The sequence below is a fragment of the Homo sapiens genome, chromosome 6 (assembly GCF_000001405.40).
Source record: "Homo sapiens chromosome 6, GRCh38.p14 Primary Assembly".
NCBI classification, from domain to species: domain Eukaryota; kingdom Metazoa; phylum Chordata; class Mammalia; order Primates; family Hominidae; genus Homo; species Homo sapiens.
Genome location: NC_000006.12, coordinates 649,126 through 671,322, shown reverse-complemented (window position 1 = coordinate 671,322; position 22,197 = coordinate 649,126). Strand labels below are relative to the sequence as shown.

The following is a 22,197-nucleotide window of genomic DNA, read 5'->3' as shown; positions in this document are numbered from 1 at the left end:
CTCTGTCACCCAGGCTCGGCTCACTGCAATCTCCACCTCCCAGGTTCAAGTGATCCTCCTGCCTCAGCCTCCCAGGTAGCTGGGACTACAGGAGTGCATCACCAAGCCTGGCTAGTTTTTGTACTTTTAGTAGAGACGGGATTTTGCCATGTTGGCCAGACTGGTCTCTAACTCCTGACCTCAAGTGATTTGCCTGCCTTAGCCTCGCGAAGTGTTGGGATTACAGGCGTGAGCCACCATGCCCAGCCTTAATTTTTTTTTTTTTTTTTTTTTTGAGATGGAGTCTCATGATGTTACCCAGGCTGGTCTTGAACTCCTGGGCTTAGGTGGTCCTTCTGCCTCAGCCTCCTAAGTAGCTGGGACTACAGGTGTGCACCACTGTGCCTGGCTGAAAAAGACTTACTTTCTTGACCTACAGTTGCAACTTCTACATTTAAAGCTACCCCAATGGGCTCATGGAAGAGAGGAATTTATTCCAGAGACTTGGCAAAACTCTAAATAAGAAATGAAAATATGTCTTTCTCTCAGCTCTATAGATGTTAATAATTACCTTATTGTGTCTTATGCAACAGAACATTTTCTTATGTGATGCGAGTTGTGGCATCATTTTTGAGACCAATCATTCAGAGATTAAAGAGAAAGGAATTGAATATTTTCAGTGTAGACACTATGAGTTTTTAAAAGTCAAAAATTATTACAGATTTTCAGACTGGAAATGAAAGGTCACTGAAGCATTCTGTGGATTTAATTTGCCATATTGAAAAGTATTGATCACTTTAACCTATGTGAACAGAAAGCTGTTTGAAGTCCTCCTTCCCTTTTTTTTTTTTAAATTAAAAAAAGTAAAGAGTTCTTCAGACCAAAAATGAGAAAACCACAGTGGATTATCCTCAGCTGTGATTGGTCCATTTCTTGCTGTGACCTCAGTAGGAGTCATTATTGTAAAATGCCAAACACTTATTTTCGTCCCTGGCTCTGCCTAAATTTTTGGCCCAAGGCAGAATCCAACAGATAGTACTGCCACCAGAAGGGGATCCTGCACAGGGACATACAGCCAAAGAACCTGCTTGTGTGGATGCTGAACTGAACCTCACGTTTGCAGACTTTGGCTTTAGCAACGAGCTCACCTTTGGCAGCAGGGTAGATAACTTCTGTGTCAGTGCTTCTTACACTGTCCTGGAACTCTTCTAGGCAACGTACGCAAAAGTACGATGGCTCTGAGATGGATGTTGGCAGCCTGGGAGTCATTCTCTGTGCAGTGGTCGGTGATCATCAGGTTTCTGTCTTACAATGGACAGAACTATAGCAGAGCTTCCAAAGTAGGTATATATCACATTCCCTTTACATGTCTATGGAGTATGAACACCTAAATAAATTCCTGCTCCCAAACCCCAGTAAGAGAGGCACTGCAGAGGAAATCATGAGGGACCCATGGATAAATGTGGGCTATGAAGAGGAACTAAAACTACATCCAGCCACTCCCTGACTCCAGGGATCCCTGGCACACTGAGTTAATGCTGTCCTTGGGCTACATGTAAGGGAAATTCTGGACTCATTGATGGGCTACAGGACACCTCAGCTGGAGGGCCACACCATCACTGTGAAGTCCTTTCCTTAGCTGATCCCACCAACTGTTGCCATCCTTCTCCATCCTTCCAGGTACAGCCTAGGGTCTCTGCCAGCCCAAAGCAGCGAGCCTGCTCTTCCCACATTTTCTTTTTCCTCTAATAGAAAATCAGTGGCTTGAGGAGGATCAGGAGTCAGGTTGAAAGGCCAGCAGAACAGTCAAAGTGCCTGCCAGTCTTCTGCCTCACCTTGAGATGAAGACTGGCCCAGCAAAGCCTCCAGCATGGCCTTGTGGCCTCCCCCTCCACCCACAGCACCAGCAGCAGTGGTGGAACCCCAGACAGAATCAACTGTTCCTAGGGTGTGTCCTCCAAAGGAGAACTCCCTTCATACTGTGCAGCTTTGGTTAGGACCGGCAGAATTTGCCAGAATGTATAACCTCAGCCATTCCCTCTCGCAACATTCAGGGCTGGCAGGGGGCCACAGGAGGTTCCTTATCTTCATCCACAGACACCTGTGTTTCAGGTTGGCTGGGAAGATCTGGCATGTAGCTGGAATGTGGGGAGTTCAAGCTGTGCTCGCTGCATTTCACATGGAGCAGGAAGATCCTGAGCTCCATGGAGTCCAAGGACATGGTGCAGGAGATCAGCCGGGTGTGGGATGCAGACAGTTGCAGGTGGTAATACTTGTCCTCGAGGAGCAAACATACCAGTTGGAGGTTCATTCATAAGCGTTTATTCCGCACCTTCATGTGCCTAGCACCAAGTAAGTAAAAAAGAAATACAGTCAGCTCTCCATATCCATGGGTTCTGCATGGACAGATTCAACCAATCACAGATGGAAAATATTCAGAAAAAAACAATGCAGCAATAAAAAAACAACAAAAACAATACAGTTTGATAACTTACATTGTATTATGTATTATAAGTAATCTAGAGATGATTAGTAATCTAGAGTATGCTGGTGGATGTGTGTGGGTTATATGCAAATACTATGCAATTTTATGTAGGGAACCTGAGCATCCCCAGATTTTGGTATCCACAGAATGCCTTAGGACGAATTACTGGTAGATCCCAAGAGACCATAGTATCTCTACTTTTACTGGCTGAATGGTAGAGATAAGTATACATGGGGTACGATTAATCCAACCTGGGGCTGAGGGAGGTTAGGTTGTTGGAAGTGAGGTGAGGGAAGGTGTAGCTTCCCACAGAAAGTGATGACTGAATGGGTGAATGGTGGAAGTTAGTTGGCTAAGAAGCAGGTGGGATGGGTGTTGAGGGACCTAACGCTGAGTGTGACAGAACGCAGATTTCAGCAGTGAGCACAGGGCTGTGCAGGCAATGAGAACAGCACTTCTTTCACCTGGAAGGATAGGACAGAAGAATTAAGTTCTGGAATGCTGGAGGCCAACAGAGGGAGAAAGCATGCGTCACCCAGAAGACAGTGTGGGAGACAATGAGGGGACTGTAGGAGAGACATGATGGAGGCACAGCATGGCTGAGTATCTTCCTGGGCATGACTTAAAGCATTAATGCCTAAAAATTTTCCAAAATTAATAATAGGCAACTATCCATAGATCCTGGGAGCCCAGAGAACACGGAGCAAGACAAATACCAAAAAATCTACACTCAGACATATCCTATTCCAGTTGCAGAAAATCAAAAACCAATAGAAACTCTTGAAAGAAGCACCTTTCTATAGGGGAGCATAGATCAGAGTTATATGAGATGTCTCTTCAGAAACCATGCAAGGAAGAATAGAGTGGAGTGAAATAAAGTGCTGAAAGAAAAAAACCCAGTGTATTAGGGCTTTCCAGAGAAACAGAATCAACAGGATATGGACGGATGGATGGATGGATGGATGGATGGATGGATGGATGGATGGATGGATGGATGGGAGGGGATTTATTAGGGGAACTGGCTTACATGACTATGGAGGCTGAGAAGTCCCATGACAGGCGTCGGCAAGCCACAGAATCAGAGAAGCCAGTAGCATGGCTCAGTCTAAGTTTGAAGGCCTCAACCAGGGGAGCCCGCAGTGTATCTCTCAGTCTGAGGCCAAAGGCCTCAGAACCTGGGGGGCAGGGGTCACTGGTATAAGCCTGGGAATCCAAAGCTCAGAAGACCGTGGCATTCTGGTGATTCAAGAGCAGGAAAAGATGGGTGTCCCAGTTCCAAAAAGGAGAGAATTTGCCTTTTCTCTGCCTTTTTCTTTGATCAAGACCCTCAGCGGCTTTGTGGTGCCTGCTCACAATGGGTGACAACAGAGCTTTCTTACTTGGTCCACTGATTCAAATGCCAGTTACTTCCCCAAACACCCTCACAGACACACCCAGAAATAATGCTTTACCAGCTCAGCTGTCTGGGTATCTCTTCTTCCAGTCATCACACTTACCACTGTCAAATCCTGTATACAAATGAAATTACCCTTCAGAAGCGAATGAGAAATACTTTCTCAGATAAACAAAAGTTGAGGAAATTTGTTACCAGTAAACCTTCCTTGTAAGAAACACTAAAAGATATTCATCAAAAAACAACAGTGATAATGATGTAGATTAGAAACTCAGATCTACATGAAGAAAGGAGGAGCATTATAGATGAATGAAGGTAAAATACAGTTTTTAGTTTTTCTTATTAATTGATCTGACAGACAACTGTTTGTTCTGAAGAATAACAGCAACAAAACTTACGGTGATTATAGCTTATAGATAATTAAAATGAATGACACCAGTGTTGTAAGGGATGAGAAGAAGAAAGTGGGAATACTTTGTTATAAGGTACTTCCACTATCCATGAATGGGAAAGTGTTATTTGAGAGTGAACTTGGTTTAGTTGTAAATGCATATTGCAAACTCTAAGATAGCCACTGAAAAAAAAATTAAAAAAAAAAGAACATAATTGCCATGCTAAGAGAAGAGGGAAAATGGGACTTTTAAGGCAGTGAAAGTATTCAGTATGATACTGTAATGTTGGATACATGTAATGATAAGTTATACATTTGTCAAAACTCATAGAATGTACCACACAAAGAGCCCCAGTGTAAACTATGGAACTTACTTAATAGTATATCAGTATTGGCTCCTCAGTTGTAACAGCTGTGCCACACTAATGCAAGATGTTAATAACAGAGGAAACAGGAGGGAGTGGTAGTGAAGGGGTATATGGAAACTCTAATTTTGATTTAATTTTTCTGTAAACTTAATAAAACTGCTCAGAAAAAAAAGTTGTAAAGTGCCAAAACAAAACAGTAAAGCACCAAGTTTCCCAATTCTAAATAATAATGTTAATTTAATAGACCTAAATTTTCTGGAAATTTTCTGGAAGGGATGCTGACCAGTTTTTGAAATTCCTGTTGTAAACATAAGTAACATTTGAATCATTTGCTCAATTTTGCATCAGTATGACTGCCGTGGTGAAGATGCCTTTACATATTTTCCAATGGTTTTGACTTTTCCTCCTAGTTTTTGATATATTCCAGTCAATATGAGGAAAATACCAGTGCTGGAAACAAGAGAAGTGTCTTCTACATCTGAAAATTAAGGAGTTACAGCTAAAAATGTTTCATGTGAGAATGGAGAAAGGATGCTGACTTGCCATCACCTAACGGATTGGCACACTCTTTTTGTGAAGGGCAGTGTAGTAGTTTTTGGCCATGAGGTCTCAGTTGCTATTACTCAGCTCTACTCTTCTAGTGAGAAAGCAGCCTTAGATGACATGGAATCAAATGAATGTGGCTGTGTTCTGATAAAACTTTATTCACAAGAATAGGTAGCAGACCACATTTCTCTTGATGACTATAATTTTTTGACTCTTATTTTTATTTTTATTTTCTGTAAGTTATTGGGGTACAGGTGGTATTTGGTTACATGACTAAGTTCTTAGTGGTGACTTGTGAGATTCTGGTGCACCCATCACCCAAGCAGTGTACACTGCACCACATCCTGTAGTCTTTTATTCCTCAACCCCCTCCCCCTCTTCCCCCCAAGTACCCAAAGTCCATTGTATCATTCTCATGCCTTTGCATCCTCATAGCTTAGATCCCACATATCAGTGAGAACACACGATGTTTGGTTTTCCATTCCTGATTTACTTCTCTTAGAATAATAGTCTCCAATCTCATCCACGTCACTGCAAATGCTATTAATTCATTCCTTTTTATGGCTGCATAGTATTCCATTGTATATATATACCACAGTTTCTTTATCAGCTCATTGATTGATGGGCATTTGGGTTTTCCACGATTTTGCAATTGTGAATTGTGCTGCTATAAACGTATGTGCAAGAATCTTTTTTGAATATTCAGTTATTTTCTTCTGGGTAGATACCCAGTAGTGGGATTGCTTGATCAAATGGTAGTTCTACTTTTAGTTCTTTAAGGAATCTCCACACTGTTTTCCATAGCAGCTGTACTAGTTTGCATTCCCACCAGCAGTGTAGAAGTGTTCCCTGTTCACCGCATCTACACCAACATGTACTGGTTTTTGATTTTTCGATTATGGCCATTCTTGTAGGAGTAAGATGCTATTGCATTGTGGTTTTGATTGGCATTTCCCTGATCATTAGTGATGCTGAGCATTTTTTTCATATGTTTGTTGGCCATTTGTATATCTTCTTTTGAGAGTTGCCTATTCATGTCCTTAGCCCATTTTTTGATGTGATTGTTTTTTTTCTTACAGATTTGTTTGACTTCATTGTAGATTCTGGGTATTAGTCCTTTGTCAGATGTATAGATTGTGAAGATTTTCTCCCCCTCTGTGTGTTGTCTGTTTACTCTGCTGTTTCTTTTGCCATGCAAAAGCTCTTTAGTTTAGTTAGGTCCCAGCTATTTATCTTTGTTTTTACTGTCTTTGCTTTTGGGTTCTTGGCATGAAATCCTTGCCTAAGCCAATGTCTAGAAGGGGTTTTCCAACATTATCTTCTAGAATTTTTATAGTTTCAGGTCTTAGGTTTAAGTCCTTAATCCACCTTGAGTTGATTTTTGTATAAGGTGAGAGACGAGGATCCAGTTTTATTCTCCTACATGTGGCTAGCCAGTTATACTAGCACCATTTGTTGAAATGGGTGTCCTTTCCCCACTTTATGGTTTTGTTTGCTTTGTCAAGGATCAGTTGGCTGTAAGTATTTGGCTTTATTTCTGGGTTCTCTATTCTTTTCCACTGGTCTGTGTGTCTGTTTTTATACCAGTACCACACTGTTTTGGTGACTATGGCCTTATAGTATAGTTTGAAATCAGGTAGTGTGATGCCTCCAGATTTGTTGTTTTTGCTTAGTCTTGCTTTGGCTATGCGGGCTCTTTTTTGGTTTCATATGAATTTTAGAATTGCTTTTTCTAATTTTGTGTAGAGTGATGGTGGTAGGATTGCATGGAATTTGTAGATTGCTTTTGACAGTATGGTCATTTTCACAATATTGATTCTACTCATCCATGAGCATGGGATGTGTTTTCATTTTTTTGTGTCATCTACAATTTCTTTCAGCAGGGTTTTGTAGTTTTCTCTGTAGAGGTCCTCCGAAAGACCTGTTTTTGGTTAGGTATATTCCTAAGTATTTTATTTTATTTTATTTTTGCAGCTATAGTAAAAGGGGTTGAGTTCTTGATTTGATTCTCCACTTGGTTGCTTTCGCTATAGAGAAGAGCTACTGATTTGTGTACATTAATCTTGTATCTGGAAACTTTGCTGAATTCTTTTATCAGTTCTAGGAGCTTTCTGGTGGAGTCCTTAGAGTTTTCAAGGTAAACGATAATATCTTCAGCAAACAGTGACAGATTGACTTCCTCTTTACCGATTTGGATGCCTTTCTTTCTCTTGTCTGATTGCTCTGGCTAGGACTTGCAGTACTATGTTGAAGAGGAGTGGTGAGAGTGGGCATCCTTGTCTTGTTCCCGTTCTCAGAGGGAATGCTTTCAACTTTTCCCCATTCAGTATTATGTTGGCTGTGGGTTTGTCATACATGGCTTTTATTACATTAAGGTATGTCTCTTGTATGTCAGTTTTGCTGAGAGTTTTAATTATAAAGGGAAGTTGGATTTTGTCAAATGCTTTTTCTGTGTCTATTGAGATGATCATGTGATTTTTGTTTTTAATTCTGTTTATGTGGTGTATCATATTTATTGACTTGTGTATGTTAAACTACCCCTGCATCCCTGGTATGAAACTCCCTTGATCATGGTGGATTATCTTTTTGATATGTCGCTGGATTCAGTTAGCTAGTATTTTGTTAAGGATTTTAGCATCTATGTTCATCAAGGATATTGGTCTGTAGTTTTCTTTTTTGTTATGTCCTTTCCTGGTTTTGATATTAGGGTGATGCTGGTTTCATAGAATGAATTAGGGAGGGTTCCTTCTTTATCTTGTGGAATAGTGTCAAAAGGATTGGTACCAATTCTTTGAGTGTTTGGTGGAATTCTGCTGTGAATCCCTCTGGTCCTGGACTTTTCTTTGGTGGTAATTTCTTAATTACCATTTCAATCTTGCTGCTTGTTATTGGTCTGTTCGGGGTGTCTATTTCTTCCTGATTTAAGCTAGGAGGGTTATATTTATCCAGGAATTTATCCATCTCTTCTAGGTTTCTAATTTATGTGTGTAAAGGTGTTCATATTAGCCTTGAGGGATCTTTTGTATTTCAGTGGTGTCAGTTGTAATATCTCCTGTTGCATTTCTTAGTGCGATCATTTGGCTTTTCTCTCTTCTTTTGTTGGTTAATCGTGCTCATGGTCTGTCAATTTTATTTATCTTTTCAAAGAACCAGGATTTGTTTTTTTTTTTGAGACAAAGTCTTGCTCTGCCACCCAGGCTGGAGTGCAGTGGTGTGATCTCGGCTCACTGCAGCCTCCACCTTCCAGGTTCAAGCAGTTCTCCTGCCTCAGCCTTGTAGAACCAGCTTTTTGTTTCATTTATCTTTTGTATTTTGTTGGTGTTTTTTCAATTTCATTTAATTCTGCTCTGATCATGGTTATTTCCTTTTTTCCGCTGGGTTTGGGTTTGGGTTTGGTTTGTTCTTGTTTCTCTAGTTCCTTGAGGTGTGACCTTAGAGCATCTGTTTGTGCTCTTTCAGACTTTTTGATACAGGTGCTTGGGGCTATGAACTTTCCTCATGGCACCACCTTTGCTGAATCCCAGAGGTTTTGATAGGTTGTGTCATTATTGTCATTCAGTTTGAAGAATTTTTTAATTCCCATCTTGATTTTGTTTTTGACCCAATGCTCATTTGGGAGCAGGTTATTTAATTTCCATGTATTTGCATGGTTTTGAAGGTTCTGTTTGGAGTTGATTTCCAGTTTTATTTTACTGTGGTCTGAGAGAGTGCTTGATATAATTTCAATTTTCTTAAATTTATTGAGGCTCATTTTATGGCCTGTCATATAGTCTATCTTGGAGAAAGTTCCATGTGCTGTTGAATAGAATGTATATTCTGCAGTTGTTGGATGAAATGTTTTGTATATATCTGTTAAGTCCATTTGTTCCAAGGTATCATTTAAATCCGTTGTTTCTTTGTTGACTTTCTGTCTTGATGACCAGTCTAGTGCTGTCAGTGGAGTATTGAAGTCCCCCACTATTATTGTGTTTCTGTTTGTCTCATTGCTTAGATCTATTAGTAATTGTTTTATAAATTTGGGAGCTCCAGTTTTAGTGCATATATGTTTAGGATTGTGATATTTTCCTGTTGAATAAGGCCTTTTACCATTACATAATGTCCCTCTTTGTCTGTTTTAACTGCTGTTGCTTTAAAGTTTGTTTTGTCTGATATAAGAATAGCTACCCCTGCTCTCTTTTGGTGTCCATTTGCATGAAATGCCTTTTTCCACCCCTTTACTTTAACTTTATGTGAGTCCTTATGTGTTAGCTGAGTCTCCTGAAGGCAGCAGATTGTTGGTTGGTGAGTTCTTATCCATTCTGTGGTTCTGTATCTTTTAAGTGGAGCATTTAGGCCATTTACTTTCAGCGTTAGCATTGAAATGTGAGGTACCATTGCTTTCATCATGCTCTTTTTGGCCTGTGTACTTTTTTTTTGTTTGTTTTTGCTTTGTAACGTGTATTTTTGTTATAGGTCCTGTGTGATTTATGCTTTAAAGAGGTTCTGTTTTGTTGTGTTTCCAGGATTTGTTTCAAGAGTTAGAGCTCCTTTTAGCAGTTCTTGTAGTGGTGGCTTGGTAATGGTGAATTCTCTCAGAATTGGTTTGAAAACAACTGTATCTTTCCTTCATATATGATGCATAGGTTCAATGGATACAAAATTCTTTGTTGATAATTGGTTTGAGGAGGCTGAAGATAGGGCCTCAACCCCTTCTAGCTTATAGGGTTTCTGCTGAGAAATCTGCTGTTAATCTGATAGGTTTTCCTTTATAGACTACCTGGTGCTTCTATCTCACAGCTCTTAGTCTTAGCTCTTTCCTTAGTCTGAACTGTGTATAACCTGATGACAGTGTGCCTAGGTGATGATCTTTTTGCAATGAATTTCCCAGGTGTTCTTTGTGCTTCTTGTATTTGGATGTCTGGGTCTCTAGCAGGGCTGGGGAAGTTTTCCATGATTATTCCCCATGTTTTCCAAGCTTTTAGAATTCTCTTCTTCCTCAGGAACACCGATTATTAGGTTTGGTCATTTAACATAACCCCAGACTCCTTGGAGGCTTTGTTCATATTTTCTTATTCTTTTTTATTTGTCATTGTTGGATTGGTTAATTTGTAGACCTTCGAGCTCTGAATTTCTTCCTTCTACTTGTTCATTTCCATTGCTGAGGCTTTCCAGAGTATTTTGCATTTCTAAAAGTGTGTCCAAAGTTTCCTGAATTTTTGATTGTTTTTTCTTTAAGCTATCTATTTCCTTGAATATTTCTCCCTTTACTTTTTGTATTGTTTATTTGATTTCCTTGCATTGGGCTCCGCCTTTCCCTGATCCCTCCTTGATTAGCTTAATAACTAACCTCCTGAATTTTTTTTTCAGGTAAATCAGGGATTCCTTCATGGTTTAGATCCATAGCTGGTGAACTAGTGTGATTTTTTCGGGGGTGTTGAAGAGCCTTGTTTTGTCATATTACCGGGGTTGGTTTTCTGGTTCCTTCTCATTTGGGTAGCCTTGTCAGAGGGAAGGTCTAGGGCTGAAAGCTGTTGTTCAGATTCTTTTGTCCCACAAAGTGTTCCCTTGATGTAGTGCTCTCCCCATCTTCCTGTGGATGTGGCTTCCTGTGAGCCAGACTGCAAGATTGTTGTCTCTCTTCTGGGTCTAGCACCCAGCGAGTCTACCCAGCTCTGTGCTGGTACTGGGGGTTGCCTGCACAGAGTCCTGTGATGTGAACCATCTATGGTCTCTCAGCCGTGAATGTGAATATCAGCGCCTGTTCCAGTGGAGGTGGCGGAGGGTGCAATGGACTCCCTGAGGGAGGGTCCTTAGCTTTGGTGGTTTAATGCTCTAGTTTGGTGCTAGTTGGCCTTTTGCCAGGAGGTGGTGCTTTCCAGAAAGCATCAGCTGTAGTAGTGTGGAGAGGGACTGGCAGTGGGCGGGGCCCTAGAACTCCCAAGATTATATGTCCTTTGTCTTCCACTACCAGGTTGGGTAGGGAAGGACCATCGGGTTGGGGGGGATGGGTGGGTCTTGGGGGATGGGGGTGGAGTTCTGTACCTAGGGGGATTATGGCTGTCTCTGCTGAGTCATGCAGGTTGTCAGGGAAGTGGGGGAAAGTCTGCAGTCACAGGCCTCACCCAGCTCCCACGCAAAACTGAAGGGCCAGTCTCACAACCACCGTGCCCCCCGTGTCCCCCCCCCAACAGCCCTGAGTGGCAAGACGGCTTGAAAATCTGCCCCAGGCTACCTGCCTCCCAGCTGCGAACTAAAAAGGCTGGGTTCTGTCCCCGCCTGTGGAGTCTGCACACCAGATTTGCGTCCTCTCCCAAGTTCTGGCCAGGAGGCTTCTCAGTCCCTTGAAATTGTTACAAAGTTCAGTTAGAGATTTCCTTCTCCCTGTGGAGTTGTACCCCCTGCTCCTCAGGCCACCTTCCAGATGGATCCCTGTGGTGCCAGGCAGGAATGGCCTGCAAGGGGACACAGTGAGCTCCCAGGGCTTTTCTGCTGCCTCTACCCCTGTGTTTCGCTCACCCCTCCAGATTGACTCAGCTCCAGGTAAAGTCGGAAACTTCTCCCGCAAACAGACCTTCAGCTTCTCCAGTGGGAGTGTGTGTTCGGGAGAGGAAGGGCTCCTTTTCCCACTTCCACAGTTGGGGCACTCACAGTATTTGGAGTGTCTCCCAGGTCCTGCAAGAGCAGTTTACTTCCTTCAGAGGGTCTGAGATTGCTGGTTTGTTCTTGCAGTCTATCTGGGGCTAAAATTCACAATGCGAGCCTTCGCATGCTGCTCTGTCTGGACCTGTGATCTAAAATTCCATGGAGGGCAGTTAGGGAAAACACCTAAAAAGACTCTTGGGGGCGCTAATGACAGTTTGGGAAACACTGCTCTAGAGGATTCGTCATTAGTTACAAATAAGACAAAGATGCTTTCTGGCACCACTGTTATTCAGCAGTGTTTTGAAAATTACAGCAAACGCAATGTCAGTTAAATAAATGACATAAACTTTGAAGAGTAAAAGCCATAATTACAGTACATGAAGATAGTAAGATTTTCTACATTAGAGACATAAAAGGTCAATTGAAAAATGATTTCAGGAGAGCTCAGTGACTTGACTGACTTCAAGATACTGTATATTATGTGAACTCCCTAAGAACAGAACTGAATAATTCATTGACAGTCATAAAAAATGGTTTGAATAAGTGGGAGGATTTAATGTAAATATTTTAAATATCTTGGCTGGGCGCAGTGGCTCACGCCTATAATCCCAGCACTTTGAGAGGCCAAGGTGGGCAGATTACCTGAGATCAGGAGTTCGAGACCAGCCTGGCCAACATGGTGAAACCTCGTCTTTACTAAAAATACAAAAATTAGCTGGGCATGGTGGCAGGCGCCTGTAATCCCAGCTACTCGGGAGGCTGAGGCAAGAGAATCGCTTGAACCTGAGAGGTAGAGGTCGCAGTGAGCCGAGATCACGCCATTGCACTCTAGCCTGGGCGACAAAAGCAAGACTTCGTCTAAAAAAAAAAAAAATATATATATATATATATATAAAATATATATATATATTTTAAATATCCTGAAATTATCTTGAAATTTATACATTTCATACATTCATTTAAAAATTTGTGTTGAACACCAGTTGCATGGCAAATACTGTTCTAAATGCTGGGTGTACAGCAGTGTATGGAACAGATAAGAACTCCTCTAACTTACATCATTGTGGTTAGAGCTAGACGGCAAACAAAGAAGTCTAAGTATGTACTATATCAGGCTGGTGATAATTCCCATCAGAATTCCAGGAAGATTATTTTTAGACTCTGACAAAATATTTTAGAATTCATCTGGAGCAGTATCTGTGAGAGAATGAGAGAAGTTCTGAAAGATTGTCCTATTCGATATTGAAATATAATACAGAAATTAAATCACTGGTACAGGTTCAAGATAGGGCAGTGGGAGAAAATATAGAGAGGGCCAGGAAACATTCAAGCAAAAATGAGAATTTTTGTCTAAAACAAAATTGACATTTCAGGTTAGTGGAGAAGTGGATTGTTTAGTGAATTATGTGTATCAGCTAGGCATTCGGTACTCCAAAAAAGATTTCAACTGAGTCAAACAACTAAGTCATAAAAACAGATAACATTAAAGTACCAGAAACAGGACTTTGAAAGCATGACCCTAGAAGTAGTAGAGAAAAGGTCAATAGGTTTGACATGAAAATACTCAGTATTTCCCAAGGGCAAAGAATACCAAAAACAGTGTGAAAAGTCACATGATAAACTGGGGAAGATATTTACAGTACATGTAATGGACAGAGGGTTAATGTTCTTGCTAGATATCTTAAAATCAAGAAAAATAAACTCAGTAAAAAGATGCAAAGGGCATAAGATGGAATTCACACACAGTGCAAGTTGAATTTTTTTTTTTTTTTTTTGCCTGCCAGAGTGCTACAGGTAAAACAGATTGCTACTACCCAGTGTTGCTGGTGGGCTAGAGTGTTCATGTAGCTTTCTGCAGGCCAGTCTGAGAATATTTATTAGGATTTTAAAAGTGCATTCATTGACCAGCACTTCACTTCTGAATTTAATGCAAGGAAATAGTTGGGTAAATGGGCAAAACTATTTTGTACAAAAATATTCATTGTGTTCATAATAGCAAAAAATTGGAAATCATCCAAATGTCATTTGTGTTATAACTCCATACACTGGAAAAGTGAGCAGCCATGAAGATGGTGTAGATTTGTTTCACCAGCATGGAAAGGTGCCTGTTACATATTTAAGTGTGAAGATGAGGTTGTAAAATGTATGCCTGGTATGCTATGATTTCATAAGACACGTGGAACTATATCTTCTTATATGCCGATTGATGAAGATGGAATCAGTGTATATACCAAAGAGATTAAAAGTGGTTCTTTATCTGAGTGATGATTTTGTCTTCATTGTGTTTAGAATACTAAGAAGTTTCAGCAGTGGAATGCCTACTCTTCTTATAACCGGAGTGGAAACGGAAGCATTTTGTGAGAGGGCTGGAGGGAAGGTGAGAACGGGCGTTGGGAGGCCCTTCCGTGGCTCCAGGCCTAGGGCTGCGGAACCCACAACAGAACCCGCAACCGCAACCGGGAACCCGAGTGCCTGCCTAGCTGGGGGGCCGGAGGGAGGGCGGGGAGGGCAGCGCCACGGACCCCAGCGGACCGGAAGGGCTTGTGGCACGCGGAATCCCCCTCAGAGGCCCCCAGCTGCCTTCCCTGTGGCATCATGAAGTTTCGCGCCAAGATCACCGGCAAAGGCTGTCTAGAGCTGTTCATTCACGTCAGCGGCACCGTCGCGAGGCTAGCGAAGGTCTGCGTGCTCCGCGTGCGCCCTGACAGCCTGTGCTTCGGCCCCGCGGGTTCCGGCGGCCTCCACGAGGCCAGGCTGTGGTGCGAGGTGCGGCAGGGGGCCTTCCAGCAGTTTCGCATGGAAGGTGTCTCGGAAGATCTCGATGAGATCCACCTGGAGCTGACGGCGGAGCACCTGTCCCGGGCGGCGAGAAGCGCAGCGGGCGCGTCCTCCCTGAAGCTGCAGCTGACCCACAAGCGCCGCCCCTCCCTCACGGTGGCGGTGGAGCTGGTCTCGTCCCTGGGCCGCGCTCGCAGCGTGGTGCACGATCTGCCCGTGCGGGTGCTTCCCAGGAGAGTGTGGCGGGACTGCCTGCCGCCCAGCCTGCGCGCCTCCGACGCGAGCATCCGCCTGCCGCGCTGGAGGACGCTGAGGAGCATCGTGGAGAGGATGGCGAACGTGGGCAGTCACGTGCTGGTGGAAGCAAACCTCAGTGGCAGGATGACCCTGAGTATAGAGACGGAGGTGGTGTCCATTCAAAGTTATTTTAAAAATCTTGGAAACCCTCCCCAGTCGGCTGTGGGTGTGCCTGAAAACAGAGACCTGGAGAGCATGGTGCAAGTGCGGGTGGACAATCGGAAGCTTCTGCAGTTTTTGGAGGGACAGCAAATACATCCTACGACGGCCCTGTGCAATATTTGGGACAATACTCTTCTTCAGCTTGTTTTGGTTCAAGAAGATGTCTCTCTTCAGTATTTCATTCCTGCCTTGTAAAAATTCAGCCAGCTTAGATTTTTTTTTTAAGGTTTTGATCTTTTCAAAACTAAAACAGACCCTGAGTTAATTGGGTTGAAAATTTGGACCTTCACTGACTTATGCAGGGCGTATATTTTGTTGAGCCCTTCCTCCTTTGCAAAATTTATATTAAAGCATTGGTAAAACAGTTGGGTAGTTCATGTTTTGTTTATTGGGTTTGTCAGGTTTTTTTCCTGCTTAAGATTCTATCAAAGTTATTCTTCAACTCTTTTTTTCGGGGGGGAAAAACAGGGTTGTAATGAAATAAGTATTTTTGAATCCTGAAACAATTGCATCAGTATTTTATTATAAAATGCTGCTGTGTAAAGCGGGAAAGTTCTCCTTTTAAAATATGTATGAATGTTTTCCGAGGGCATTTCTTATGTAGAGAGCTAAATATATCTGCAAGATAAAAGGTATTTAGCATGTGTGTGCATTACATATTCTTTGTTAAGCCGTGTTCTGTATAGGATATGTCAAAGAATATATCAGTGTACATGGTTTTTAGATTTATTATCTACATAGTTTGAATTGCTTATTAGGTTCATTTTTCACATGTATCATATTCACATTAGAAATCAAGGAAATATAGGCATGTCTCAGAGATACTCCAAGTTTGGTTCCAGACCACTGCAAAAAGCAAATATTGCAATAAAGACAGATGAGTTTTTTGGATTTTCAGTACATATAAAAGTTATGTTTGCATTATACTGTAGTCTGTTGAGAGTACAATAGTACTATGTCTAAAAAATGTACACATCTTAATTTTAAAATACTTCATTGGTAAAAAATGCTGCTGCTCATCTGAGCCCTCAGCAAGTCATAATCTTTTTGCTGGTGGGAGGTCTTTACCTCCCTCTTGATAGCTGCTGACTGATTCCAGTGGTGGTTGTTGAAGGCTCAGGTAGCTGTGGCAATTTCTTAAAATAAAGTAGTTAACTTGCTGGATCGATTGACTTTCATGAAAGATTTCTCTTTAGCATGGGATGCTTTGGGTATTTTATCCACAGTAGAACTTCTTTCAAAACAGTCCTCTCAGACCCTGCCACTGGTTTATCAACCAAGTTTATACACTGTACTAAATCTTTTGTTGTTGTTTCAACAGTTTTCACAGCATCTTCAGGATGCTGTGATTCCATCCAGGAGTAGATTCTATCTCAAAAAAGTCACTTTCTTTGCTTATGTATAAGAAGCAACTCTTCATCTGTTTGTTTTATCTTAAGAGTGTAGCAATTCCTTAAGGCTCTACTTTTTTTTTTTTTTTTTTTTTTTTTTTTTTTTTTGAGACAGGGTCTTACTCTGTCACCCAGACTGGAATGCAGTGGTACAATCATGGCTCACTGCAGCTTCAAACTTCTGAGCTCAAACGATCCTCCTGCCACAGCCTCCCCTGTAGCTGGGACTACAGGCTCATGCCACCATGCCCAGCTAACTTTTTAATTTTTCTTTTGTAGAGAGGGAGTCTCACTATGTTGACCAGGCTGGTTTTGAACTTCTGTCCTCAAGCAATCCTCCCGCCTTAGCCTTCCATAGTGCTGGGATTACAGGCATGAGCCACCATGCCCAGCCTCTACTTCTAATTTTAGTTCTCCTGCTACTTCCACCATACTTGCGGTGACATCCTCCACCAAAGTCTTGAACTCCTTAAAGTCATCCGTGCTGGTTGGAATCAACTTCTTTTTTATTCCTGTTAATGTTGATATTTTTACCTCTTCCCATGAATCATCAGTGTTCTTAATGCCATCTAGAATGATGAATCCTTTCCAGAAAGTTTTCCATTCACTTTGCCAAGATCCATTAGAGAATCAGTATCCATGGCAGCTATAAACGTACAAAATTTATTTCTGAAATAATAAGACTTGCAAGATGAAATTACTCCTTGATCCATGAACTGCGGAATGGATATTGTGTTAGCAGTCATGAAAACATTCATCTCCTTTTGTATCTTCACCAGAACTCTTGAGTGACCAGGTGCATTGTTAATGAACAGTGATATTCTGAAAGAAATCTTTTTTTCTGAGGATTAGGTTTCAACAGTGGGCTTAAATTATTCACTAAACCAGATGCTGTAAACAGATGTGCTGTCATGTAGGCTCTGTTGTTCTATTGATAGAACACAGGCAGAGTAGATTTATCATAATTCTTAAGGGCCCTAGGATTTTCAGAATGGTAAGTGAGCATTGGCTTCAACTGAAAATTACCAGCTACATTAGCCCCTAACAACAGAGTCAACCTGTCCTTGAAGCTTTGAAGCCAGGTATTGACTTCTCCTCTCTAGCTATGAAAGTCCTAGATGGCATCTTCTTCCAATTGAAGGCTATTTGTCTTCAATGAAAATGTGTCGTTGAGTGTAGCCACCTTCATCAGTGATCTTATAATAGCTAGATCTTCTGGATAACTTGCTGCAGCTTCTGCATAAGTACTCATTGCATCACCTTGCATTTTTATGTTCTGGAAATAGCTTCTTTCCGTAAACCTTATGAACCATCCTCTAACTACAGCCTTTTCTTCTGCAGCTTCCTCACTTCTCTAAGCCTTCATAGCATTGAAGAGAGTTAGGGCTTTACACTGGGTTAGGTTTTGGCTTAAGGGAATGTTGTGGCTGGTTTATCTTCAATCTAGATCACTCACACTTTCTCCATATCAGCAATAAAGCTGTTTTAGTTTGTTATCATTCGTGTGTTCACTAGAGTAGCAATTTTAATTTCCATCAATAATTTTTCCTTTGCATTCACAGCTTGGCCAATTGTTTGCCACAAGAAGGCCTGGCTTTAGACTGTCAGGTCATTAGACATGGCTTCCTTACTAAGCTTAATTATTTCTAGCTTTTGATTTACAGTGAGAGACTTGAAACTCTTGCTTTCACTTGAGCACTTAGAGGCCGTTGTAGGATTATGAATTGGCCTACTTTCAATATTGTCGCATCTCAGGGAATAGGGAGGCTTGAGGAGAGGGAGAGAGAATGCTGGTTGGTGGAACAGTCACACACACATTTATCAATTAAGTTCCCTGTCTCATATGAGCATGGTTTGTGGTGCCCCGGAACAGTTACAATAGTATCATCAAAGAACACTCATCACAGATCACCATGACAGATGTAATGATAATGAATAAGTTTGAGATAATGCAAGAATTACCAAAATGTGACACAGAGACATGGAGTGAGCACATGCTTTTAGAAGAATGGCACTGATAGGCTTGCTTGATGCAGGGTTGTCACAAACCTTCAATTTGTAAAAAGTGCAGTATCTGAGTAGTACAGTAAAGTGAAGCACAATAAAAGGAGGTAAACTGTAGTCAAGTTCATGTTAACCAAAATGTTGCTTTAAGGGTAATTTTTGGATAAATCAGGTTTCCATTCATCCTCTTCCCTTCCCCACCCCCAGCCCCGCCAGTATTCCAGTACTTTACTTAGAAAATAATTCTTAATGTTTCATTGTTTTGAGAAAAACGAAGAGAGGTTATAAAAGGATGGTATAGTGATGAACAGTCTCAGGGAGAGGAGTAGCTTATATTCTTTTATATTAAATTTTAGTTTAGTTTTTTTGGTGGCTTATGCAGTAAGATAAGCCATTAACTTGGCAACCTTTATGTTTACATAGTAAATTCCCATGACTACATTTTTATCAGTAATGAAGAGTTTCCTACTAGATTTGGTGATAAAACACTTAAACTTGTTAATTTATTTTGTTTTGGTGATTTCTAAATTCCACCTGTGGTAGTGTGGAAAGAACACACAAACATTGGACCCAGGCGAGTCGCTTGAACCCTCTGGCTTACTAAGATGTGTTTCCGTTGGGCTAGATTCTGATTTAATGCTATTAAAGTTATAACATGGGAAGTTTAAACAGTTGTTTTCAAAAGTATTTCTGAAGTAGTCTTTAAAAATTATTAATAACCACTTTGGAGGTATAGTGTATGCTCTTTGAAACTATTTACTTCATATCTTCTGAGTTACGTACAAAAATATGTGAATTATTTTGTTTGGTGAGTATTTTCAGAGCTGTTTGTGAAGTTTTTTTTTTTTTTTTGAGATGGAATCTCACTCTGTCGCCCAGGCTGGAGTGCAGTGGCGTAATCTTGGCTCACTGCAACCTTCGCCTCCCGGGTTCAAGCGATTCTCCTGCCTCAGTCTCCTGAGTAGCTGGGATTACAGGCGCGCACCACCGCACCCGGCTAGTTTTTGTATTTTTAGTAGAGGTGGGGTTTCACTATGTTCATCAGACTGGTCTCGAATTCCTGACCTTATGATCTGCCCGCCTCGGCCTCCCAAAGTGCTGGGGTTACAGGCGTGAGCCACTGTGCCCGGCCTGTGAAGATTTTTAATCAAGCCATTTTTTGGTTCATTTAAAAAATCTTCTGCCCTCATGAGCACTTCTGTAGACTTTATTTTTTATTTTTTTATTATTTATTTATTTATTTATTTATTTTTCTGAGACGGAGTCTTGCTCTGTTGCCCAGGTTGGAGTGCAGTGGCACAATCTTGGCTTACCCTAACCTCGGCCTCCGGGTTCAAGTGATTCTCATACCTCAGCTTCCCGAGTAGCTGGGATTACAGGTGCCCACCATCACACCCAGATAATTTTTGTATTTTTATTAGAGATGGGGTTTCACCATGTTGGCCAGGCTGGTTTCAAACTCCTGACCTCAAGTTATCTGCCCGCCTCAGCCTCCCAAAGTGTTGGGATTACAAGCATCAGCCACTACACCTGGCCTTTTGTAGACTTTAAATGCAAGATAAAAATGGAGAACACGGCCGGGCGCGGTGGCTCACGCCTGTAATCCCAGCACTTTGGGAGGCCGAGGCAGGAGGATCACAAGGTCAGGAGATCAAGACCATCCTGGCTAACATAGTGAAACCCCGTCTCTATTAAAAATACAAAAAAAAATTAGCTGGGCATGGTGGCGGGCGCCTGTAGTCTCAGCTATTTGGGAGGCTGAGGCAGGAGAATGGCGTGAACCTGCGAGGCAGAGCTTGCAGTGAGCCGAGATCACACGCTACTGCCCTCCAGCCTGGGCAACAGAGCGAGATTCTGCCTCAAAAAAAAAAAAAAAAGAACACATGCCTTACTACAGTGAGGAAGTTATAAGATCTGCAGGTTTTGATTTTGACATAACAAATTGCTTATCGTGTTTGTTTCAGGCATCTCTTCCAAATTTTTTCCTTTTTAGAAAAATTAAATGAAAATTTTCAAGCTATAATAAAAGATATTTTTTACTAGTTTCATACTCTCTCCTCTTCTTTCCTCCAGTTGTCTGTCTCTAGTTCTGTTGCTTTGTCTTGATGTACTTAATAATACCAACAGAAATGAAAAATCTAATAGTTTGTTTTAGAACATAAATAATTTTACAGTTTAGTCTTTCATGAATTATTATGGTTTACTTTTAATAATTCATTAACAGGGAGTATCTATCAAAAGTTTTATAGCCTAGTTTTGTAATGTAGCTTTTGAAAATGGAAAAGATAATTTATTCTTCTACTTAGGTTATTCCCTAATCTGCAGAGATACGTTGCCTATAATATTAAACATCAATAGACCATCTAAATATAATGTTTTAACTAATATTGTGTAATTATACAGTAAAAACGTTTTACAATACAGAAATTTTAAAATGAATAGCAAGCTATTATTAAAGTTTTTAGTTTAATTGTGAAAAACTAGAGAGTGCCCGTTTCTATAGTCATGCATTAGTTGCTGAATTTAAAAGCTTTGTAAAGGACTCTCCTAGGAACAAGAGCTCAGAGATGCCTTAGAGCTGATCTCATCCAATCATCTTGTTTATAGATAAGAAACGTTTCACAGTGCGTAAAAGTGAACAAGCGTTTTTATTTCCTAATGCCAGAACTCAGTTTAGAACCCAGTCTCCAGACTGTTCATAAATGTTTCAATAGACTTACAGCTTGGATATACTTTTGTTCATTACAATAAATCTAGAGTACCATATGATTGTTTTACTTAATCTATAAAGATAAAATTTAAATTTAAAAAATCTCAAACCTTTTGGAGGGGCATTGTCATTTTGTCCTTGTTTGAAGATGTCCTTTGCTCTTGCAGGCAGGAAGGAATTTATTTGCCACACAAAATGATAATTCAATGAAAATAAAGTCTTACATTAAAAAAAGTCAAAGTCTCAAGTTTACAAATTATTTAAGCATCTTCCATTGTTTCTCATAGGGAGACTACTGAGAAGCAAGAAAACACTATGCCTTTTATGTTTCACTGTATCTGTAGAAAATAAATCATTGGAAAATGTATTAAAGTGCTTTCTTATATCCAGAATTTATTGTCCCACTAGATACCATTTGCTGAAAGCTAAACTGGCTTATTCATATGACAGACTTGTACTTTTTAAACATTTTACTGCTAAAAAGAAATTACTCTTGCGTGTATATTTATTCAGTGAATAGGTTGCCATTATCAAAAGAAATCAGACAAGTGTCTCTTTCCACGGTTAATTTCCATAAGGACCCTCCTAGTTCTGGTTATCCCCATTCGGGTCCAGGCATTTGAGAAATACTTGGTGAATTAACATGAGTCTGGAAACACATCAGAATTATGATTTTTTTTTAAGCAAACCAGTAATTCTCTTTGGTAATGGATAGTACGTAAGTGTGTAGTGTGGTTCTTAGGCTAGGAGCCAGTAAGTAATAATTTGTAGCCCATCTTATATACCTGTGTATATATGTGAAGTTCCCAGTAAGTACTCCCATTCCCCCAACGTTTATTATTTGCCCATTTGCATTATTTAGTACTTTGTATATTATTAGTTTTCTTGTACCAGAATCTGACCTAATAAAAGTTCCTGATTCTCATCTGTATTAACTTTCCTTACATGAGTAATAATAGCTGTTATACCTCTTTATCCCTATGCTTTCCAAAGATAAAATTAGTTTGTGGCCGGGCACAGTGGTGCGGGCCTGTAGTTCCAGCTACTCTGGAGGCTGAGGAAGGAGGATCAC

The 22,197-nt window shown here is 40.9% G+C and overlaps 2 protein-coding genes and 1 pseudogene across 19 annotated transcripts in view, besides 2 other annotated features; all 3 read left to right on the top strand.

Moving 5' to 3' along the window:
• EXOC2 (exocyst complex component 2) overlaps positions 1 to 22,197 on the top strand; it is a 207,986-nt gene that overhangs the window by 21,817 nt on the left and 163,972 nt on the right. For 6 of the 18 annotated variants that reach the window (NR_073064.2, XM_047419009.1, XM_047419013.1 and 3 more), the window contains one exon: positions 14,073 to 14,160. The exons of the other annotated variants lie outside the window; for them this stretch is intronic. The gene's annotated coding sequence lies outside the window, so the exon portion shown is untranslated. The remainder of the gene's footprint in view (positions 1 to 14,072; positions 14,161 to 22,197) is intronic. 18 annotated transcript variants of the gene reach the window in all.
• Positions 1,016 to 2,243, top strand: MARK2P18 (MARK2 pseudogene 18; annotated as a pseudogene).
• Positions 10,313 to 11,260: an enhancer, noted in NCBI's record as "NANOG-H3K27ac-H3K4me1 hESC enhancer chr6:660063-661010 (GRCh37/hg19 assembly coordinates)". NCBI's record gives its function as "activates a minimal SCP1, AML or CMV promoter by ChIP-STARR-seq in primed H9 embryonic stem cells {active_cell/tissue: H9 hESC(primed)}" and the evidence as "EXISTENCE:reporter gene assay evidence [ECO:0000049][PMID:30033119]".
• Positions 11,261 to 12,209: an enhancer, noted in NCBI's record as "NANOG-H3K27ac-H3K4me1 hESC enhancer chr6:659114-660062 (GRCh37/hg19 assembly coordinates)". NCBI's record gives its function as "activates a minimal SCP1, AML or CMV promoter by ChIP-STARR-seq in naive H9 embryonic stem cells {active_cell/tissue: H9 hESC(naive)}" and the evidence as "EXISTENCE:reporter gene assay evidence [ECO:0000049][PMID:30033119]".
• Positions 14,223 to 15,384, top strand: HUS1B (HUS1 checkpoint clamp component B). Its single transcript, NM_148959.4, has one exon. It carries the CDS (start codon positions 14,379 to 14,381, stop codon positions 15,213 to 15,215), a length of 837 nt encoding a protein of 278 aa, NP_683762.2. The 5' UTR covers positions 14,223 to 14,378; the 3' UTR covers positions 15,216 to 15,384.

What these genes read in the sequence shown, in the direction of transcription:
- HUS1B (NM_148959.4), top strand. Translation starts at nt 14,379, where the DNA reads ATGAAGTTTCGCGCCAAGATCACCGGCAAAGGCTGTCTAGAGCTGTTC.